Source organism: Homo sapiens, chromosome 9 (assembly GCF_000001405.40).
Source record: "Homo sapiens chromosome 9, GRCh38.p14 Primary Assembly".
In the NCBI taxonomy this organism is placed as follows: Eukaryota; Metazoa; Chordata; class Mammalia; order Primates; family Hominidae; genus Homo; species Homo sapiens.
The window spans coordinates 62,344,199-62,363,580 of record NC_000009.12 but is presented as its reverse complement, the minus strand read 5'-3'; the positions used below and the strand labels follow the sequence as shown (position 1 = coordinate 62,363,580).

Sequence of the window (19,382 nt, the reverse complement as noted above, 5' to 3'; positions counted from 1 at the left end):
TGAAAGGTATTTTTAAATACAAATGTTGTCCAGGAGTGACAGAAGCTGGAGAATTGGACTACTTGATGGAGGCTTTGTACAAGCTTTGAACAATAATAACAACAAAATTGAAATGCCAAAAATATTGTTTAGCAGTTAACCACCAATAAAAGGAAGCCAGCCATTTCACACAGAGGATTTTGTTAATTGATTGCGTGATTCAAGGAAATAATATTATTAGGTGTGTATTAGTCCATTATTGCATTGCTATAAAGAAATACCTGAGATTGGGTAATTTATAAAGAAAAGAGGTTTAACTGACTCACAGTTCTGCATGCTGTACAGAAAGAATGTTGCATCTGCTGGGCATGTGGGGAGGCCTCATGAAATGTATAACCATGGTGGGAAAATGAAGAGGGAGCCGGTGCTTCATATAGCTGGGAGCAGGAAGAAAAGTGAGAGGTGAGGAGGTGCTACACCCTTTTAACAACCAGATTTCATAATAACTCACTCACTCACTATCATAAGAATAGCACCAAGGAAATGGTATTAAACCATTAAAAAGAAACCACTCCACAATCCAATAACCTCCCATCAGGCCCCACCTCCAACACTGGGTATTTCAATTTGACATGAGATTTGGTTGGGGACATAGATCCAAACCATATTATTTTGCCCTAGTCCCTCCCAAATTTTGTCTTTCTCAGTTTGCAAAATATAATCATGCCTTCCCATCAGTCCCTCAAAGTCTTAACTCACTTCAGCATTAACTCAAACATCCAAAGTCTAAAGTCTTATCTGAGATGAGGCAAGCCCCTTCTGCCTAAGACCCTGTAAAATAAAAAAAAAAAACAAAAACTCCCAAGATATAATGTATAATGGGGGTACAGGGATTGGGTAAATACTCCCATTTCAAAAGGGAGAAATTGGCCAAAAGTAAGGGGCTACGGGCCGCATGCAAGTCTGAAACCCAGTAGGAAAGTTATTAAGTCTTAAAGCTTAACAATCTCCTTTGACGCCATCCAGGGCATACCACTGCAAGGGGTGAGCTCCCAAAGCCTTGTGCTGCTCCACTCCTGTGACTTTGCAGGGTTCAGCTCCTACAGCTGCTCTCAAGGGCTGGTGTTGAGTGCTTGCACCATTTCCAGGCACACGGTACAAGTGCTGGTGGATCTACCATTCTGGGGTCTGGAAGATAGTGTCCCTCTTCTCATAGTTCCCCTAGATAGTGGTCCAGTAGGGACACTGTGTGGTGGCTCCAACCCCACCTTTCCCCTCTTCAGTGCCCTCGTAGAGATTCTCCATCAGGGCTCTGACCCTGCAGCAGATTTCTGACTGTACATCTAGGTTTCTTCATACATTCTCTGAAATCTAGCCTCAACTCTTGTACTCTGTGCACCCTCAGGCTTAATGCCACATGGAAGCCATCAAGACTTATGGCTTGAACCCTCTGGAGCAGCATCCTGAGCTGTACCTGGGCCACTTGGAGCCATGGCTAGAGCTGCAACAGATGAGATGCATGTAGTAGTGTCCCATTCTTCCTTCGTTGTCCTCTGAGCCTGTGATGGGAGGAGCTGCCACAAAGGTCTCTGAAATGCCCTGGAGGGTATCCCTCATTTTCTTGGCTATCAGCATGTGCCTTCCTTTTAGTTAAGCAAGTTTCTGCAGCTTGCTTGAATTTCTCTCCTGAAAATGGGCTTTTTGTTCTACCACATGGCCAGGCTGCAAATTTTTCAAGTTTCTACACTCTGCTTCCCTTCTAAATATAAGTTTCAGTTTGAGGTCATTTCTTTGCTCACACACATCAAAATAGTTTGTCAGAAGTAGTGAGCTTACCTCCTGAATGCTTTGCTGCTTAGAAATTTTTTCCACCAGATACCCACCAGAACTTGAGATACTCTCAAGTTCAAAATTCCACAGATCCCTAGGGCAGGCCCACAGTGCAGCCAACCTTTTTGCTAATGCCTAACTAAAGTGACCTTTGCTCCAGTTCCCATTAAGTTCCTTATCTCCATCTGAGACCTCCTCAGCCTGGACTTCATTGTGAGTCTCTATCAGTAGCTTGGTCACAACAATGTAACAAGACTCTAGTAAGTTCAAAACTTGCCCTCATCTTCCTGTCTTCTTCTGATCTCTCCAAACCCTTCCAATCTCTGCCCACTATCCAGTTTCAAAGCCACTTTCACATTTTCCGGTATGTTTACAACAATATCATATTCCTCTACCAATTTTCTATATTAGTCCTTTCTTACATTGCTCTAAAGAAATACCTGAGACTGGGTAATTTATAAAGAAAAGCAGTTTAATTGGCTCATGGTTCTGCACGTTATACAGAAAGCATGATGCATCTGCTGGGCTTCTGCGGGGGCCTCAGTAAGCTAACAATCATGGCAGAAGGTGAAGGGGGAGCCAGCACTTCACATGGCTGGAAGCAGGAAGAAGAGTGAGAGGTGGGGAGGTGCTATACACTTTTAACAACCAGACTCACAATAACTCACTCACTGTCACAAGAACAGCACCAAGGAGATGGTGCTAAACCATTTAAGAGAAACCGCCCGATGATCCAATTGCCTCCCAACAGGCCCCACCTCCAACAGTGGGACTTACAGTTTGACATGAGATTTGGGTGGGGACACAGATCCAAATGATATCAATGTGTTAAAAGGAAAAGGAGATAGCAGTGGGAAATGGATATTTAACTTCAGTTTATGAGTTTTTATTTTAGAGTTCTAAAATTATGTCTTATACTGCCTATACAAGTGCTAGAATAGTTTCTGTATTAAGTGGTAGATATTAATATCCAAATATCATACTTACCTTCTTTGACCTTGCAGTTTAAGACGGCATTTTAAGAAAGTAAACAAACACATTGATTTTTTTTTAAAGGAGACATTTTTCAGTAAAGGATATAAGTATGTTAACATGAGAGATATAGAAAAATTACAGATGGACAGACAATCCTACATAGAAACCTAAGGAAGCATTTAACTCAGACACAGAGATTGAGAAGAGTAAAGTGGGTGAAATCTGGGAAAGAATGCTTCCAGTAGAAGAAACAGAATATTGAAGGAACAGAGATTGATGTCAAGAGTTCAGGGAAACAAACCAGAATAAGAATGTTTAGACAAAAGGCTGATGGTAGAAGGATATTGAGACTGAAAGTTATAGAGAGCACAGGCTTACTCGAAAATTAGTAGACAAAAGAACATCTGTAAGTTCAATCATGAAGGAGTGCCAGAATTAAAGAGAAAATAAGGAAATAATAAAGGGAATCTTTTGATGTGAGGAACCAATTGGGCTACCAACTCAGCCTGCCAGCCTGCCATTCCAGTGACAGTAGGAAATAAATGTTCTGTAAGTTATTTGGAAATTAGAGGACAAAGTAATTGTTTGTTCTATAGGTAGAGAAACATTTTTGTAAATGATAATACAGCTGTTCTACCGATTTCTCTTAATTTTCAAAATTTTTGAAGGGGTACACTATATTTTCATGATTTGTTCATTCTGATTTCCAACTCATATTTGTTCATCATTTTCTCTTTAAATTTTAAAAAGTTGAAAGACATTCATATCACAAAATTTTCACAGGATAATTTTTCTAGTTGCAACTGTAGATTTATGTGGATATATACAAATCTCTCTAGTGACACATCTAAAGATTAATGTTATGTTCTGTTCCATAGGGAGCAAATATACCACATGAAACATCGCAACTATGAATCCAACTAGACTGTATGGGAAACATATATTGAAAAATAAATTAAAATTATAAGTTCTATGAGAAAACACAAACATTTGAGTAAAAAAATGAGAAAGGTTTAGTGGTGACTTCTTCCCATGTTAGAAAAAAGGATTCATAATGAACAACTTTTTTTTTCATGTATTTCCTACAATTGAGTAAAATAATAGGACTAGGTAAGTTTACTGGTTTGCATTTTTTCATCTGGGTCTGGTTTTCCATTTCAATTGTTAGCCATTGTATTAACTACTTTCACCATTCAAAGGAATGAATGATCTGCCATAGTATTTTCTGCAGTTCCATCTCTTGTTTTCAGTATCATTCCAATTCTGCATCTATCTAATTTTGATCTCTGTTCTATTTATTTTCCTGATTCATAACATTTTGCTTTGTGCTGAGCACCTAATTGTCTCTCTGTCATTCTCAACATTTTAGCCCTATGGTCTAAAAGATGCCCAAAAGAATGTAGCATATTCTAGTATATCAGTGGGACAACATAAACAACTTGCTTAATTGTTAATCTATTTAAAAATGAAACAGTGTTTTTCATTTTTTCAATCAATTTAATGCTGACTAGATCCTATAACTACATTCTACTTTTTATAACTAAAGAACTCCAGAAAAATAAATGTAATAGCTTTGCTGGAAAAGATTAACCTTACAATGCCTTCCTAATGCCCTTACTTTTTTTTTTTTTTGAAAAGTGTTTTCTGGTACACAAAAATAATATTCTGAAATATCTCTCTGATATTTGATTGCCGGATTTAACCTACATACCTCTGAACCTTGGTTTTTCAGACATGCAAACTGCTTAACAAGTTCCAATGCATTAATCAATGCACCATTGCATAACTTACAGTAAGAAAAGTTGGTAGATATTTCAGCAATGCCATAAAATATGCTTCCATTTAACACTTTGAGACAGCCAATACACTATTTATATTATTGAGACAAAACAAACCTAAGATCACAGAAAAATATTTATTTTAATAGAATGGTATTTAAGTAGATAGTTTTTTTGTTGTGTTTTTGTTTGTTTGTTTGTTTGTTTGTTTTTGAGATGGAGTCTCCCTCTGTCGCCCAGGTTGGAGTTCAGTGGCCCAGTCTTGGCTCACTGTAACCTCCCCTTCCCAAGTTCAAGCAGTTCTCCCTGCCTCAGCCTCCTGAGTAGCTGAAATTACAGGCATGCACCACCACGCCTGTTTAATTTTTGTGTTTTTAGTAAAGATGGGATGTCACTATGTTGGCCAGGCTCGTCTTGAACTCCTGACCTCAGGTGATCTGCCCACCTTGGCCTCCCAAAGTGTAAGTAGATAGTCTAAATGATTATGGGTTTCAATAGGTTTTGTTAATTTGTTTTAGTTGACATACAAGAGCACTACAAAACCACATTATTTTATTTTAATTTTTATCAGTAAACTTCATTATATTAAAGGCCATATTGCCCACTGAATATGATTTTGATAAGCACAACTTCTATAATTTACAACTTACTGTATATGGTCTAATATAAATTACATTTAGCTATCTTGAATAAAAGATATGAATCCCCAAAAACTTAATATATAAAATAATTTCTACAATCAATTAAGCCACATGGGGCCTGGTGTGCAAGGGCTGCAAACAGCATCATCCTAGGTAGTGTACAGCAGCCTGTTCCTTGCGTACAACAGCCTTTGCCATTGGACATTTATGTCTTGGATCTAGTGCTTTCCCTAGTCTAGGTTTAAGACCGGATGTAGTATGCCTTTGGAAAGCCTCAGGACCCAGAGGTCAGAGTTCACATTGGCCATGTTCATCCATACCAAGCTGCAAACCCTGGAGCATGTGACTGAGGCCTTATTTAGGGCCAAATTCAAGTTCAGTGAATGCCCAAAAAGCCACATCTCAAAGAAGTGCGATTTTACTAAGTTTAATGCATATACATTTTAAGACTTGGTGGCTGAGAAACAACTCATCCTGGATGGCTGTGGGGCCAAATATAGCCCTGGAATCATGGGCCCCTGGACAAGCAGCTAGCCCTGCATTAGAAAAGAGCTGCCCCCTCTTTACGCATGCCCACCAGTGAATTCTATTTCCTGTACATCTAATAAATCAATCTATCTATCTATCTATCTATCTATCTATCTATCTATCTATCTATCTATCTAAATAATTCAATAATATGCAGTAGATTAAAAAAATAAACACAACTTGATGTCTAACTACTGTGGATATATTTTGTCATTTATTAACATTCCCCTTTCAGGTTAATATCAAGTCAACAAAAATTTGGAGTTCTCTTGACCCTTTCCCCAATGTGTAAATTAGTAATATAATGTCAATATTCAGACAGGCAAATAAACTAAGCTCCCTTTGATGAAAACGACATGCAGTAACGCTTCCCTACTGAGAATCATCTTAGTTTGTGAAATCATAATCTGGAATGGCTATATCTGCAAAATACATTAAAAGAAAGAAAATATGAAAAACATAATCTACAATACTTTTATGTATATCTAATCATTTTATATTTCTTTTTTATTATACTACTTGAAATACATACATAAAGGATAAAGAGTTTCAACAAATCTCAAAAAGGAAACCTAATTATGTATAATATTCTGACTGATTTTGTTTGCTTACCAAATTGAAATTGAAAAGAAAAAATACAGCACTCTATAAAAAAATAAAATGATTTCAAAATATAATTATTTTCTCCCTTTGAAAATATAAATGTTTAAATAATGGTGAAATAGAGAACATAAACATTCACAAATATTACATATCCATTCAACATTTTCAGGTATTATTTTGTTTTGTTCAAACCTCCCCTTCTGTCATTTTTCTCTCCTTTCTTTATCTTTAGCATAACTGAGCTGCTTTCCAAACATCTATAGTTATACCGGACATAGCATTTTCCAACATCAAACATGGTTTTTCTTAAACACCAGTTCCAAATATTAATTCCCAGGGAAAATGACATTTTCCATATGTGAGAAATATTGGAACCAATATAACAAAACTCATTAACATTTATAACATTTGAAAATAATTTCACAAAAGTTTTATTTAAAAAATTTTATTGTAAATTTATGTAAGAAATTCTCTATCCATTACATGACTTGTATAACATCCACAGTATACTAAGAAAATATTTTTAAAATATAGGATAAGGTGTCTAAATAATAAATTTTTAAGACTGCTTAGAGCCACTATTAAAAATCTGAGAATAAGGCATGAATTTTTTTTTTTTTTTTTTTTTGAGACGGAGTCTCGCTCTGTCGCCCAGGCTGGGGTGCAGTGGCGCGACCTCAGCTCACTGCAAGCTCCGCCTCCCGGGTTCACGCCATTCTCCTGCCTCAGCCTCCCGAGTAGCCGGGACCACAGGCGCCCGCCACCACGCCCGGCTAATTTTTTGTATTTTTAGTAGAGGCGGGGTTTCACCGCGTTAGCCAGGATGGTCTCGATCTCCTGACCTCATGATCCGCCCGCCTCTGCCTCCCAAAGTGCTGGGATTACAGGCGTGAGCCACCGCGCCCGGCCGAATATTTTTTGATCTATAGAGATTATATATCGGCATGCTGGCATTGGCTTTTATTACAGAATAAGCATTTTAATCTTCATTCACTCTCATCAATTCATTATAGAAACCAGCTTAAAAAAAAAGACCACCACTTGTAGAAAACAGTTAATATTTCGATGGTTTACCTGGAAGTTTACTGGGCATAAATTTATAAAATACATTTATGGATGGAAATAAACTGTTTTACTAAACAATATTACAGAATTCTGAATAGATGCTGATTAAGCAGCAAATCAACAAAACTGTTTATTTACCAGTTTGGTGGCTATTATGCTAATTAGATCATCTGTTTAAAATGTGTCCATATGGACAATTTTTCTGTAAATGTTTTCTTTATCTCCACATTGTGTGGTAGTATTTTCATAGAACCAAGTAGAAATTAACTTAAAAATTAGTTATTTAAAGATGACAATAGAAGGTTTTGAACTTTGAGTTCCAAAAGGCAAGCAAATATTTCTGAAATAAAATATATTATATATATTTAATTTCTAATTTAATTTACATATAAAATATTTTTAAAATTCATGTGAATTTGAGATATTTTCACATTGATTGGACTGTTTTTGTACCTCATTTTGCTTGGTCACACTAAAGTGAGATTCATCATCTTGTGGCACCAAAGGAAAACTAGTGTGATTATAAGGAAATTATTACAGTTAGACAACTGTGCATTAATTTCATCATTAAGGACCAAACATGTATACAGATATAAATACTTTTCTCAATACATTACTTGCAACATATGCACAATTATGTAACAATTATGGTGAACTAAGTCTCCTAGAAATTTCCAAAATATTTTTTTTGCCTTTTTTTAACCTCTAAATCCATATAAATCAAGGGAAAATATTCTTGCACATATGTATATTTAAACATGAACCTAACCAAAAGTAAGAGAAATTTGAAAAAGTATAACATATCAAAATGTGGAAATTTCTGTGTTTAGGGAAAAATCTATCCCATTAAGAGCTTGCATTAGAAAAGAAAAATTACCTTGAAATTATGATGAAAGCTTCCAACTTGTTATTATAAAAATGAGAACAAATTAATTCTGAAGCAATCAGAAAGAAGAAAATAATAAAGGTTAATGAAGAAATAAACAACATTAAATGGAGAAAAATTATATAGCTAAGTAAATTAAACTAAATTTAGATCTTTGAAGGGATCAATAAAATTGTTAAATCTCTGGCCAGACTATGGAGAAAATAATAGGAAATAAATAATTTACAAATTTTAAGAATGACAGAAGTGGCTGGGGTTGGTGGCTCATGCCTGTGATCCCAGCACTTTGGGAGGCCGAGGCAGGCGGATCGTTTGAGGTCAGGAGTTCCAGACCAGCCTGGCCAACATAGTGAAGCCCTGTCTCTACTAAAAATACAAAAATTAGCTGAGCGTGATGGCGCCTGCCTGTATTCCCAGCTACTCGGGAGGCTGAGGCACAAGAATTGCTTGAAGCTGGGAGGTGGAATTTGCAGTGAGTAGAGATGAGGCCACTGCACTCAAGCCCGGGCGACAGAACGGGACTCTGTCTCAAAACAAATAAACAACAAAAAAAGAATGATAGAAGTAACATTTCCATTGTCCTACAACAGTTTAAGGATAACTAAATGAATACCATGATGAAATTTATAAATGTAAATTAGTTAATTTAGATTAAGTGTATAAATCCCTCAAAAGATACAAACTAAGGCAAACTCAAAAAGAAAGCAATAAAATGCACATCCCTATATATCTGTTTTAAATTTATTAATACCCACCTAGATAAACGAACTGACAAATTTTACTAATATTTAAGGAGATATAATTTATACATTACACAAAAGTTTAAGAAATAAAAAAGAGGAAACACTTTTCTTTTTTTTTTTTAATAAGAGGTTGCTTTGTACTTTTTTTTTTATTATACTTTAAGTTTTAGGGTACATGTGCACATTGTGCAGGTTAGTTACATATGTATACATGTGCCATGCTGGTGCGCTGCACCCACTAACTCGTCATCTAGAATTAGGTTTATCTCCCAATGCTATCCCTCCCCACTCCCCCCACCCCACAACAGTCCCCAGAGTGTGATATTCCCCTTCCTGTGTCCATGTGATCTCATTGTTCAATTCCCACCTATGAGTGAGAATATGCGGTGTTTGGTTTTTTGTTCTTGCGATAGTTTACTGAGAATGATGATTTCTAATTTCATCCATGTTCCTACAAAGGACATGAACTCATCATTTTTTATGGCTGCATAGTATTCCATGGTGTATATGTGTCACATTTTCTTAATCCAGTCTATCATTGTTGGACATTTGGGTTGGTTCCAAGTCTTTGCTATTGTGAATAATGCCGCAATAAACATACATGTGCATGTGTCTTTATAGCAGCATGATTTATAGTCCTTTGGGTATATACCCAGTAATGGGATGGCTGGGTCAAATGGCATTTCCAGTTCTAGATCCCTGAGGAATCGCCACACTGACTTCCACAATGGTTGAACTAGTTTACAGTCCCACCAACAGTGTAAAAGTGTTCCTATTTCTCCACATCCTCTCCAGCACCTGTTGTTTCCTGACTTTTTAATGATCGCCATTCTAACTGGTGTGAGATGGTATCTCATTGTGGTTTTGATTTGCATTTCTCTGATGGCCAGTGATGATGAGCATTTGGTACAAGGAGGAACTGGTACCATTCCTTCTGAAACTATTCCAATCAATAGAAAAAGAGGGAATCCTCCCTAACTCTTTTTATGAGGCCAGCATCATTCTGATACCAAAGCTGGGCAGAGACCCAACAAAAAAAGAGAATTTTAGACCAATATCCTTGATGAACATTGATGCAAAAATCCTCAATAAAATACTGGCAAAACGAATCCAGCAGCACATCAGAAAGCTTATTCACCATGATCAAGTGGGCTTCATCCCTGGGATGCAAGGCTGGTTCAATATACACAAAGCAATAAATGTAATCCAGCATATAAACAGAGCCAAAGACAAAAACCACATGATTATCTCAATAGATGCAGAAAAAGCCTTTGACAAAATTCAACAACCCTTCATGCTAAAAACTCTCAATAAATTAGGTATTGATGGGACGTATTTCAAAATAATAAGAGGAAACACTTTTCAACATGTTTTATGAGTCTACCGTTATCCCCATACCAAAACCATAAAACAGACATTACAAGAAAATGTCCTGTAGACAAATATGTATTTTGATGATGAATTTAGATTTCAAAAACTTCAGCAAAATATTATCCAATTAAATCCTCTCATGTCTGTGTGTGTGTGTGTGTGCATGCACGTGTGTTTGTAAAATATATCATTACTAATTGGCGTTTATCTTGGGAGTTCAAGATGGTTTCCATATTCAATCAACCCATCAATGTGGACTATGGTCACTTGAAAAGACCAGCAAATCCTCTGCACAAAAGGCCACTAGAAATTCATTAAAGCAGCCTTCCATCATTCTCGAAATTGACCAAAGCATTCAACTACCTGAGAAATATTTATGTTTGGAAAGCTATTGAAATGCAATTAAAAATATCAGGAAACCTGTTTTTACCTTTTGTCCTAATCTTGCTAAATCCTTCTTAATTTTAGGAGACACTGCTTCTCCTTCCACTGTTCTTTTACTTTCTCCTTCCCCTTTGTTTTTGCCTCCCCCTTCCTCTCCCTTTTCTACATTCCTTCTCTCTCCTAAATGCTGTATAAATTTCTACATATGTAATCATATTATTTACAAATAGGAACAGTTTTACTTATTTCTTTCCAGTCTGCATTTATTTTATTCTTCCTTTTTTTCCTTACACACTGGATAGAACTCTAAGTATTATGTTGAAAAAGAGTGATAAAAGCAAACATCTTTGCTTTATTCCTGAGCATACATGTGGAAAACATTCAGTGTTTCACAGCTAAATATGATGGATTTTTTGTATGCTCTTTATCAAGATGAAGGAATTTTCTGCTATTTCTGGTTTGCTGAATTTTTATCACAAGTAACTGTTGAATAGTGTCTTTTTCCCCTGCATTTATTGAACTGATCATGCATTCTCCTATTTTAGAATATTAATATGATGAACTATATTATTAGATTTTTTAAAATATTGCAACTGTCTTGCATTTCTGGAATAAACATGGCTTGGTCATGTGTCACTTTTTTACATAGTGTCGTATTCAAGTTGTCGAGGATTTTGCATCTAGGGTATATTTGTAGATTTGCATCTAGGTTATGTTGGTCTAAAGTTTTGTTTGTTTGTTTTCCTTTTCTTTTTTTTTATCATCTTTGTCTTCTTCTGTTTAAGTGTCATGCTTGCTTCATAAAATGAATTGAGAAGCATTTCTTCCTCTTCTGTTTCTCGAAAATTGTAGAGAACTCTTGTTTTTTGTTGTTGTTTGTTTGTTGTTTTGTTTTTTCTTATTTTTATCCTCATACTGAGAACCAAACAGTCTGGAGTGTAAAACATGGTTCCTCATTCCAGTTAAATCTAGTATACAATGACAACAACCCTCTTGGGTTAAGCATTGGCCTACAAACAGAAAAAAACCTTCAGGGAGATAGATGCTGATCTAGGCATTGTGAGAAAAGCTGAATTCATTTTTAATCATGAATGGCTTTTAAGGAAAGAAGATTTATTAACTAAAATAAATAGATTAGAGGGAATTCTCACCTATGAGAGAGGAAGGGATGGGATTCAACCTGGAAAAAGTAATGAAGTTTTAGTGAACTTGGTAAGGTAGACTCAACAATTAATGATGGATAATGCTAGGACCCAACACTGGTAATGAGTTTGTATTATGACTCAATAGCATCACTTTATCACTTTAACACAGATGGAGGCCTAAATAACCATAGGGTAATGGTTCTTCTTAGATGCAGAAGGACACATTTATATAATCTTAGGGACCCCATCTCTGAGGTCACTCATAATTTATATTAATTCATTGTTATTGCCATTGCCCCAAGAATAGATAAGGATAAGACATCCTGTAGTACAGGTAGCAGAGATATAAACTATTCTTATTCTTGTGTCTTGTCTATAGGAAGGGAGTGTATCCTGGTGTAAGACAGCATATAGTAGAGACCATTGTCAATTAGGGCCTGTGAACTAAGACAGGGTGACTGGCTAAGTCCACAACCCATTAGAAACCCAGAAATAATCAAATCATGGTGAGTAGTAATAACACTTATTTATAATACTATACGGTATAAAGACAAGAACCAATTATGTTGAGTAGCTGTAACAAATAGCTCTATCATTCGTAATAACTTTTTCTGTAATAAAACTGAATTGTAACATGATCATACTGCAATATGACATTACACTAGCATTGTTGGTAAGATTCAACTATCTTATGTAGAGAAGTTATATAATGCTTATATTGATAATCAAATGTATTAAGATATTGAGTTAAAGCCTCTTCAGAATGTAATCTGGGTGAATAATAAATGGCCTGAGAAAACAGAATTCAGCTAACCATTATCTAATTTCAATGCTAAATAGTTCTGCACAGATTTATCAAAAAGTAAAAATAAAAGCAGATTGAGAGGAGGAATGAATAATTTTGTTTGTACAAAATATTAAAGTGTATGTAATGGGCTTGTAGGATGCATTAGTAATTTTTAAAAATCAATCTTTACCCTACACTGTGTCCATAAAATGCTAGGCATATTCATGTTAATATTACTGTTGTTACTGTCATATAAATGCCATATTCAATGTAGATGCTCAGAAAAATATGATTGTTTTGCTACAGGAGAGATTAGACCAGGGACAATAAATATGGATTAGGCAAGAATGTGTTAACTCAGCAGCCCAGGGTTTTTTCAACCCTGCACATTCAAAGGTAAGGTTTGTTTTTAGGACTAGCTAGCCTCTGAGTTCTGGAAATAGTCTTACCGTGAAGAGTGTTTTTGTATATCTGAGGCCTTGGGTTTATGGTGAATGACTGACTTATATGCCTGAGGCCCTGAGCCATGCTGTATTTATTTGAACCATGTGGTATCAATTTAACCAGATACGTTTATTCTAAGATATGATTTATGCTGAATGCCTGGTTTTGTTCTAGAGGGATCATGGAAAGGAAGCTGAATTTGCCAAGTTTTGCCACTTGGGCATTGCATGCCTATGTGATTAACCACCAATAAAAACCTGGGACATCAAAGAATAAATAAGCTGCTCTAATTGCCAAGAATTCACATGTGGTTGTATGCAGCTTTACTGGGAGACTGAAGTGTATCTGCATGTGATTCTGCTGTGATGGACACTTGTAAGTTTGTGCCTGGAGTCTCCTGGACTTTGCCCTGAGAATCTTTTTCCTTTGTTGATACGACTCTGCATCCTTTTGTTTTAATAAACTGTAAACATGAGTATAATTGCTTCTCTGAGTTCTGAGAGTTTTTTAAATAAATAATCAAAGCTGAAGAGCAATGGAGACCCCCACCAAAACATCTTTACACATTTCAATTTTGTATTGAAGTAAATTTTATTTTCTTTTTTATACCTCCCATATATATTCTATTTTTCTCATTATTATTTATTTTATCCCAAATCTTTTATCTGTGATCATTTTCCTTTGTTTGAAATTTGTCTTTTGACGTTTCTTTGGAAGGTGCTTTTGGATGATAAATTTTCTGTTATTCTTTGTCTAAAATGTCATTATTTTGACTCATTTATAAAAGGAGTTTTTGTGTTTTATAAACCTCTAATGTATAGAAGTGTGTCTAAACTCATTGAGGATATTTTCCAAATTTTTTCCTACTTTTTATTGCTGTTGATAAGAAGTCAGTGTTGGTATTTTGACATTTAAGTTATGTGTCATTTTGTTGTGGTAGTTCTGAAGATCTTCCCTCTGTTTTATATTCTCCTTCACCTTTCATAAATGTACTTTATATTTATTTGGTAATAAATTTTGAACATATACTATGCTATAAAGATAATCTAGGCCCTTTGGTTACATCTTGTAAATAAAATCAACAAAATCTGTTTTGAGATTATATTGTAATATAAGATACCCAAAGTAACTAGGATGTGTACCATATGTTTGAAGGTGGTAAATACGATGAGAAAAATAGATCAGGTCAGGAAGAATGAAGATGATTGAAGGTACAGTTTATGATGAAAACTTAGGTGTGCCGAGGAATGATTCATCTTATGTATCTTGAGTGTAATGTCTTATTTCTCCTGAATCTGAGAATTTGATGTCTTTCATTAGGGATGTCAGTAAATCTCACTAATGAATATATTAGACTCCAGTTTAATATATGATAGTCATTTTCATTCTGTCTTTCATATCACTGAATCCTTTCTCTTTATTGTTCATTTTTATACATCTCTTAATAGTCAAAGTGAATTTAACTATGTTTTACGTTATGTGGTTATTCTCACTTTAGCTATCTCTAACATATTATGAATGTGTCAGTTGTGTGTTTACCGTTGTTTGAATTAAACTTTTAAATCATTCATTTTAATTCTTACTTAATTCAAACTTGTTTGTTATACATTCTTATAATTCCAGTATCTGGAGTCTTTCTTCATGTGATTCTTTTATCTCCCTGTTTTCCTCCTATATTCTTTTCATGCACCATCTTTCTCTGTGTGTTTTGTTTTGTTTTACTGTCAATTCCTAACTAATAGAAGTATATTTATGCAAATAATTTTAGGATAGAATTGAAATAGGTTTCCCAAAAGGATTATATAAATTTGTTTGTACCAAGGGCCCAGGGTTATAAACAGAATGAGATCACTTTAAATTTCTGTCTTGAGGATTTTCAAGTTACACAGGTCATATTAGTGAGAACCCCAGAAAAGGGCATTCTTTTTTTTTTTTTATATTTCACTTTACGTCCTGGAATACATGTGCAGAACGTACAGGTTTGTTACATAGGTATACATGTGCCATGGTTGTTTGCTGCACCTATCAACCCGTCATCTAGGTTTTAAGCCCCACATGCAGGTATTTGTCTTAATGCTCTCCCTCCCCTTGCCCTCCACCCCCAACAGGTCCCGGTGTGTAATGTTCCTCTCCCTGTGTCCATGTGCAGAACCTGCAGTTTTGTTACATAGGTATACATGTGCCATGGTGGTTTGCTTCACCCTTCAACTCGTCACCTACATTAGGTATTTCTCCTAATGTTATCCTTCCCCTAGGCCCCCGCCCCCTACAGCCCCTCCCTGATGATCCCCTCCCTGATGATCCCCTCCCTATGACCATGTGTTCTCATTGTTCAACTCCCACTTATGAAAACATGTGGTGTTTGGTTTTCCTGTGTTAGTCTGCTGAGAGGGATGGCTTCCAGCTTCATCCATGTCCCTGCAAAGGACACAAACTCATCCTTTTTTATGGCTGCATAGTATTCCATGGTGTATATGTGCCACATTTTCTTTATCCAGTCTATCATTGATGGACATTTGGGTTGGTTCCAAGTCTTTGCTATTGTAAATAGTGCTGCAATAAACATACGTGTGCCTGTGTCTTTAGAGTAGAATAATTTATAATCCTTTGAGTATATACCCAGTAATAAGATTGCTGGCTCAAATGGTATTTCTAGTTCTAGATCCTTGAGGAATCACCATACTGTCTTCCACAATGGTTGAACTAATTTACACTCCCACCAATAGTGTAAGAGTGTTCTCTTACTACACTTCCAATTTGGCTGGACTTTGAACTTTGTCTCTGGTCCCCTGCTTTTTACAGTCCCAAGAAACATGGCCTCATCCTTATCAAGACCAGAGAATGCTCTCAAGGTAAAACCTTAATTTTCATAAAATTATTGTCTTCTTGCCTGATCATTGTGACACTAAAGCAAGATTTTTTTAATGTTTCATCCAACTTTTAAGAATTATTTTAGTGGTAGGACTGAGCCAGGTTTCTAATCCACACTACTGCAGATAAAAAAATGACAAAAGGTAACTTTCAAAAATAGAGGCCGGGCGTGGTGGCTCACGCCTATAATCCCAGCACTTTGGGAGGCCAAGGCGGGCAGATCACGAGGTCAGGAAATTGAGACTATCCTGGCTAACACGGTGAAACCCCGCCTCTACTAAAAATACAAAAAAAATTAGCCGGGCGTGGTGTCCGGTGCCTGTAGTCCCAGCTGCTCGGGAGGCTGAGGCAGGAGAATGGTGTGAACCCACAAGGTGGAGCTTGCAGTGAGCCGAGATCGCGCCACAGGACTCCAGCCTGGGCGACAGAGAGACACTCCATCTCAAAAAAAAAAAAAAAAAAAAAAAAGAAATTCATCTTTTTTCATGAAAGATTTATTATACATTCTAAATAAAATGGAGATAGAAAGTTAGCATTTGAACTTTAAAGTTGTTAGCATAAGGAGCAATGAAAACTAAATTTCTCCTGGGAGTTACTCATTTTTCTGGGTTGTAAATGAATGCCATATTATTTTTTGATGTTTAATGTAAAATATTATTGACTGTAATAATCCAATATGATCTAGGATATTCAGTCTTACACAACATAGGGATACAGTATAGGTTGATGTACATCCAAAATTATAACACACTTTGTTCAAACACAATGCATATTACATTTTCCTGTAGCTCAAATCTGTGTTATCTGTATTATTAAGAGATATAAGGAGAGGATTCAAAATAATAGCTGAAGAATTCTCATTAATTTTATGAATCTAGTAGATCAAAATGTTACTCTAACATTAATAATTTCATAATACAGACTGTGAGGCTTACATAAATCTGTTTCAAAAAATGTATAGCACTCTTTAGCTTTCATGTTGTAAGACATTCAGAATATAATCCAAAATAAAGTTGTAATAAATTATTGCATTTTAATGAGTATTTTAACATAAAATGTGAGTTTGGGATTATTATAAATCCAAAGACACATAAACTCAGTTTCTAAAAGATATGATTGAGGGGAAATCATGATTTATTATATCTTCATTTTATCAAAAAAAGACACAGTTATTATTTATAATAAAAATGATTACAATGCACACATACTCTTTTGTGAGTTGCCACAGAATTTTCTATTACCAAAACCTGTCAAGTTCAACACATGTCTAGAATATGTATAAATAAAGGTTGATCTGTGATATTAGATATTATCAAATAAAAAATACTCTTATTGAAAAAAATGTGATTCCTTATGACAACTTCAGGGCATCTTCTATTTGCCCCCTGTCATCAACAGGGGAAATTTTCTTTCCTACATTTCTCACTAATCATTTCTGACAAGTAGTTGGCAAGCTTAACTATAAAGGGTCGTCCATAGGGTTCTAGGTCAACCTTACCCTTTGGGAAGAAAGTATACATGATGTCTATGAATAAATGCCCTCCAACAAAGGAAAAGGACAATGCTTTACATAGTGTGTGCATAATCATTTTTCAACATAATTAGCTTATTTGTGACATGATTTTACTGTCATTGCAGGTGTTTGACATGACCCACGCTTTTTCTTTGTGCCAAGAAATACAATGGTTTTGTATTACATTAATACTTTAGATCATCTATAATATGAGTCAGGTTTGGTTAAAAAATATATAAAAATAAAAATCTCAGTTCTATTTAAAATACTAATGAAAATATCCTACCAAAGTAAGACATTAGCAATGCATTATCTGTCACTTGATATTTTGTGTGTTTGCTCATTTCAACAAGGGAAAGAGAATTAGAAAATTGGAAGAAAAATATTTAAGTAATTCTTGTAAAATTAATATACATATTAAATATCATGAAGGGTAGAAACAGAGTTAACATTTAAAATGTTTATAACTAATGTGTAAATTTAATTGAAAGCCAACTGATTGCTCTGAAATTTTATGAGGAATAATCACAATTGTACAGAAAATAACTGACACCGAAAGTATCTACCTTTTCACATTTAAATGCAAGTGACTTTTTGTTCATTCATTCAAAAATTATGGATTATTATACTTTAGCTTAAATGTTTGTCTCCCCTCTAAAAGCCATTTTGAAACTTAATCCTCAATGCAATAGTATTAAGAAGTCAGGCCTTTAGGAGTAATTAGGCCATGACGACTCTGTACTCATAGATGGGATTAGTGCATTACAAAAGGGCTGAAGGGAACTAGCTAATGTAAGGACACAGCATTCAAGTTACCATTTTAGAAGCAGAAACTGGGACCTCACTTGGTGCCAAACCTGCCAGAACCATGGTTTTGAACTTTTCAGCCTCCTGGACTGTGAGAAACAAGTTTCTGTTCTTATCAGTCTCAGCTATTTTGTTACAGAAGCACAAGCGAACTGAGACCTGAGATGGGAGTGTTTATGTGCTAGGTATGGAGCTAATTTCTGAATAAATAAAGATGAATACATTCTATGACCTCATCATCTAGTGCCTGTTACAGTCATGCAGTGGATATTTTTTCTTGCCTTCTTATTACTCATTTTTGCTCTCCTCACTAAATATTGAGGAAAACATGAATGCATCATCAGTTTTTCCACTGATACAACTGTTTAAGAAGTACATATGACATTATATTTTTTCTTTCTGTATTCTGTAGACTTACCTGTAAAGTCTAAGGCTAACATTGACTTTATGCTAATTAGTACTGTGTTCATTTCAGATGTGTAATATGCCTTGTACAAATATAAATAGATAAAACATTAAAGGTGCTACTACTCAAAACACACAGGGAATAAAATATTCTATTTGAAACATCAACATAGAGTTTACACTGAGGGAAATTTTTATTCATTAGTTTAAATGGGGCAAAATACAATAAATATTATTTGGTTAAAATAGAGAAAGTTAAGTGGAAAGATGAAATGATGAAGAGCGCAGAGAAAATTGTTCAGTTTGCATACAAATTGGGAAATTAACACCTAACCTGCCTAGGTAGAATTTCATAGCGTTAACTAAAATAATTACTTAAACTTACAAGATTTATTAGAAAAATATGAATAGAAAAATAAAATGCATTGTTGCATTTTATGTAATTTTACTTGAACTTAGTTTATAACATGTACATAGATTAAGTTGATTTAAATATTTTATGTACAAAAAACTATATTGTTGAAGATTCTAAGAGCTTAAAACTAAAATACAAGATAAACATTTACTTTACAAAAATAGTAAATAAGATGAAGAATTTGAAAGAATTTAAGAATTAATTTCAGTTTC

General features: G+C 35.1%; 1 long non-coding RNA gene and 1 pseudogene across 5 annotated transcripts in view; both read left to right on the top strand.

Annotated features, from left to right (window-relative positions):
• LOC124900279 (uncharacterized) lies at positions 5,296 to 5,390 on the top strand (annotated as a pseudogene).
• A 3,746-nt stretch (positions 5,391 to 9,136) lies between these two features.
• LOC105379263 (uncharacterized) overlaps positions 9,137 to 19,382 on the top strand; it is a 104,681-nt gene continuing 94,435 nt past the window's right edge. For all 5 annotated transcript variants that reach the window (XR_007061527.1, XR_007061529.1, XR_007061526.1 and 2 more), the window contains exons 1-2: positions 9,137 to 12,434; positions 13,334 to 13,534. This is a non-coding gene — a long non-coding RNA (uncharacterized LOC105379263). The remainder of the gene's footprint in view (positions 12,435 to 13,333; positions 13,535 to 19,382) is intronic.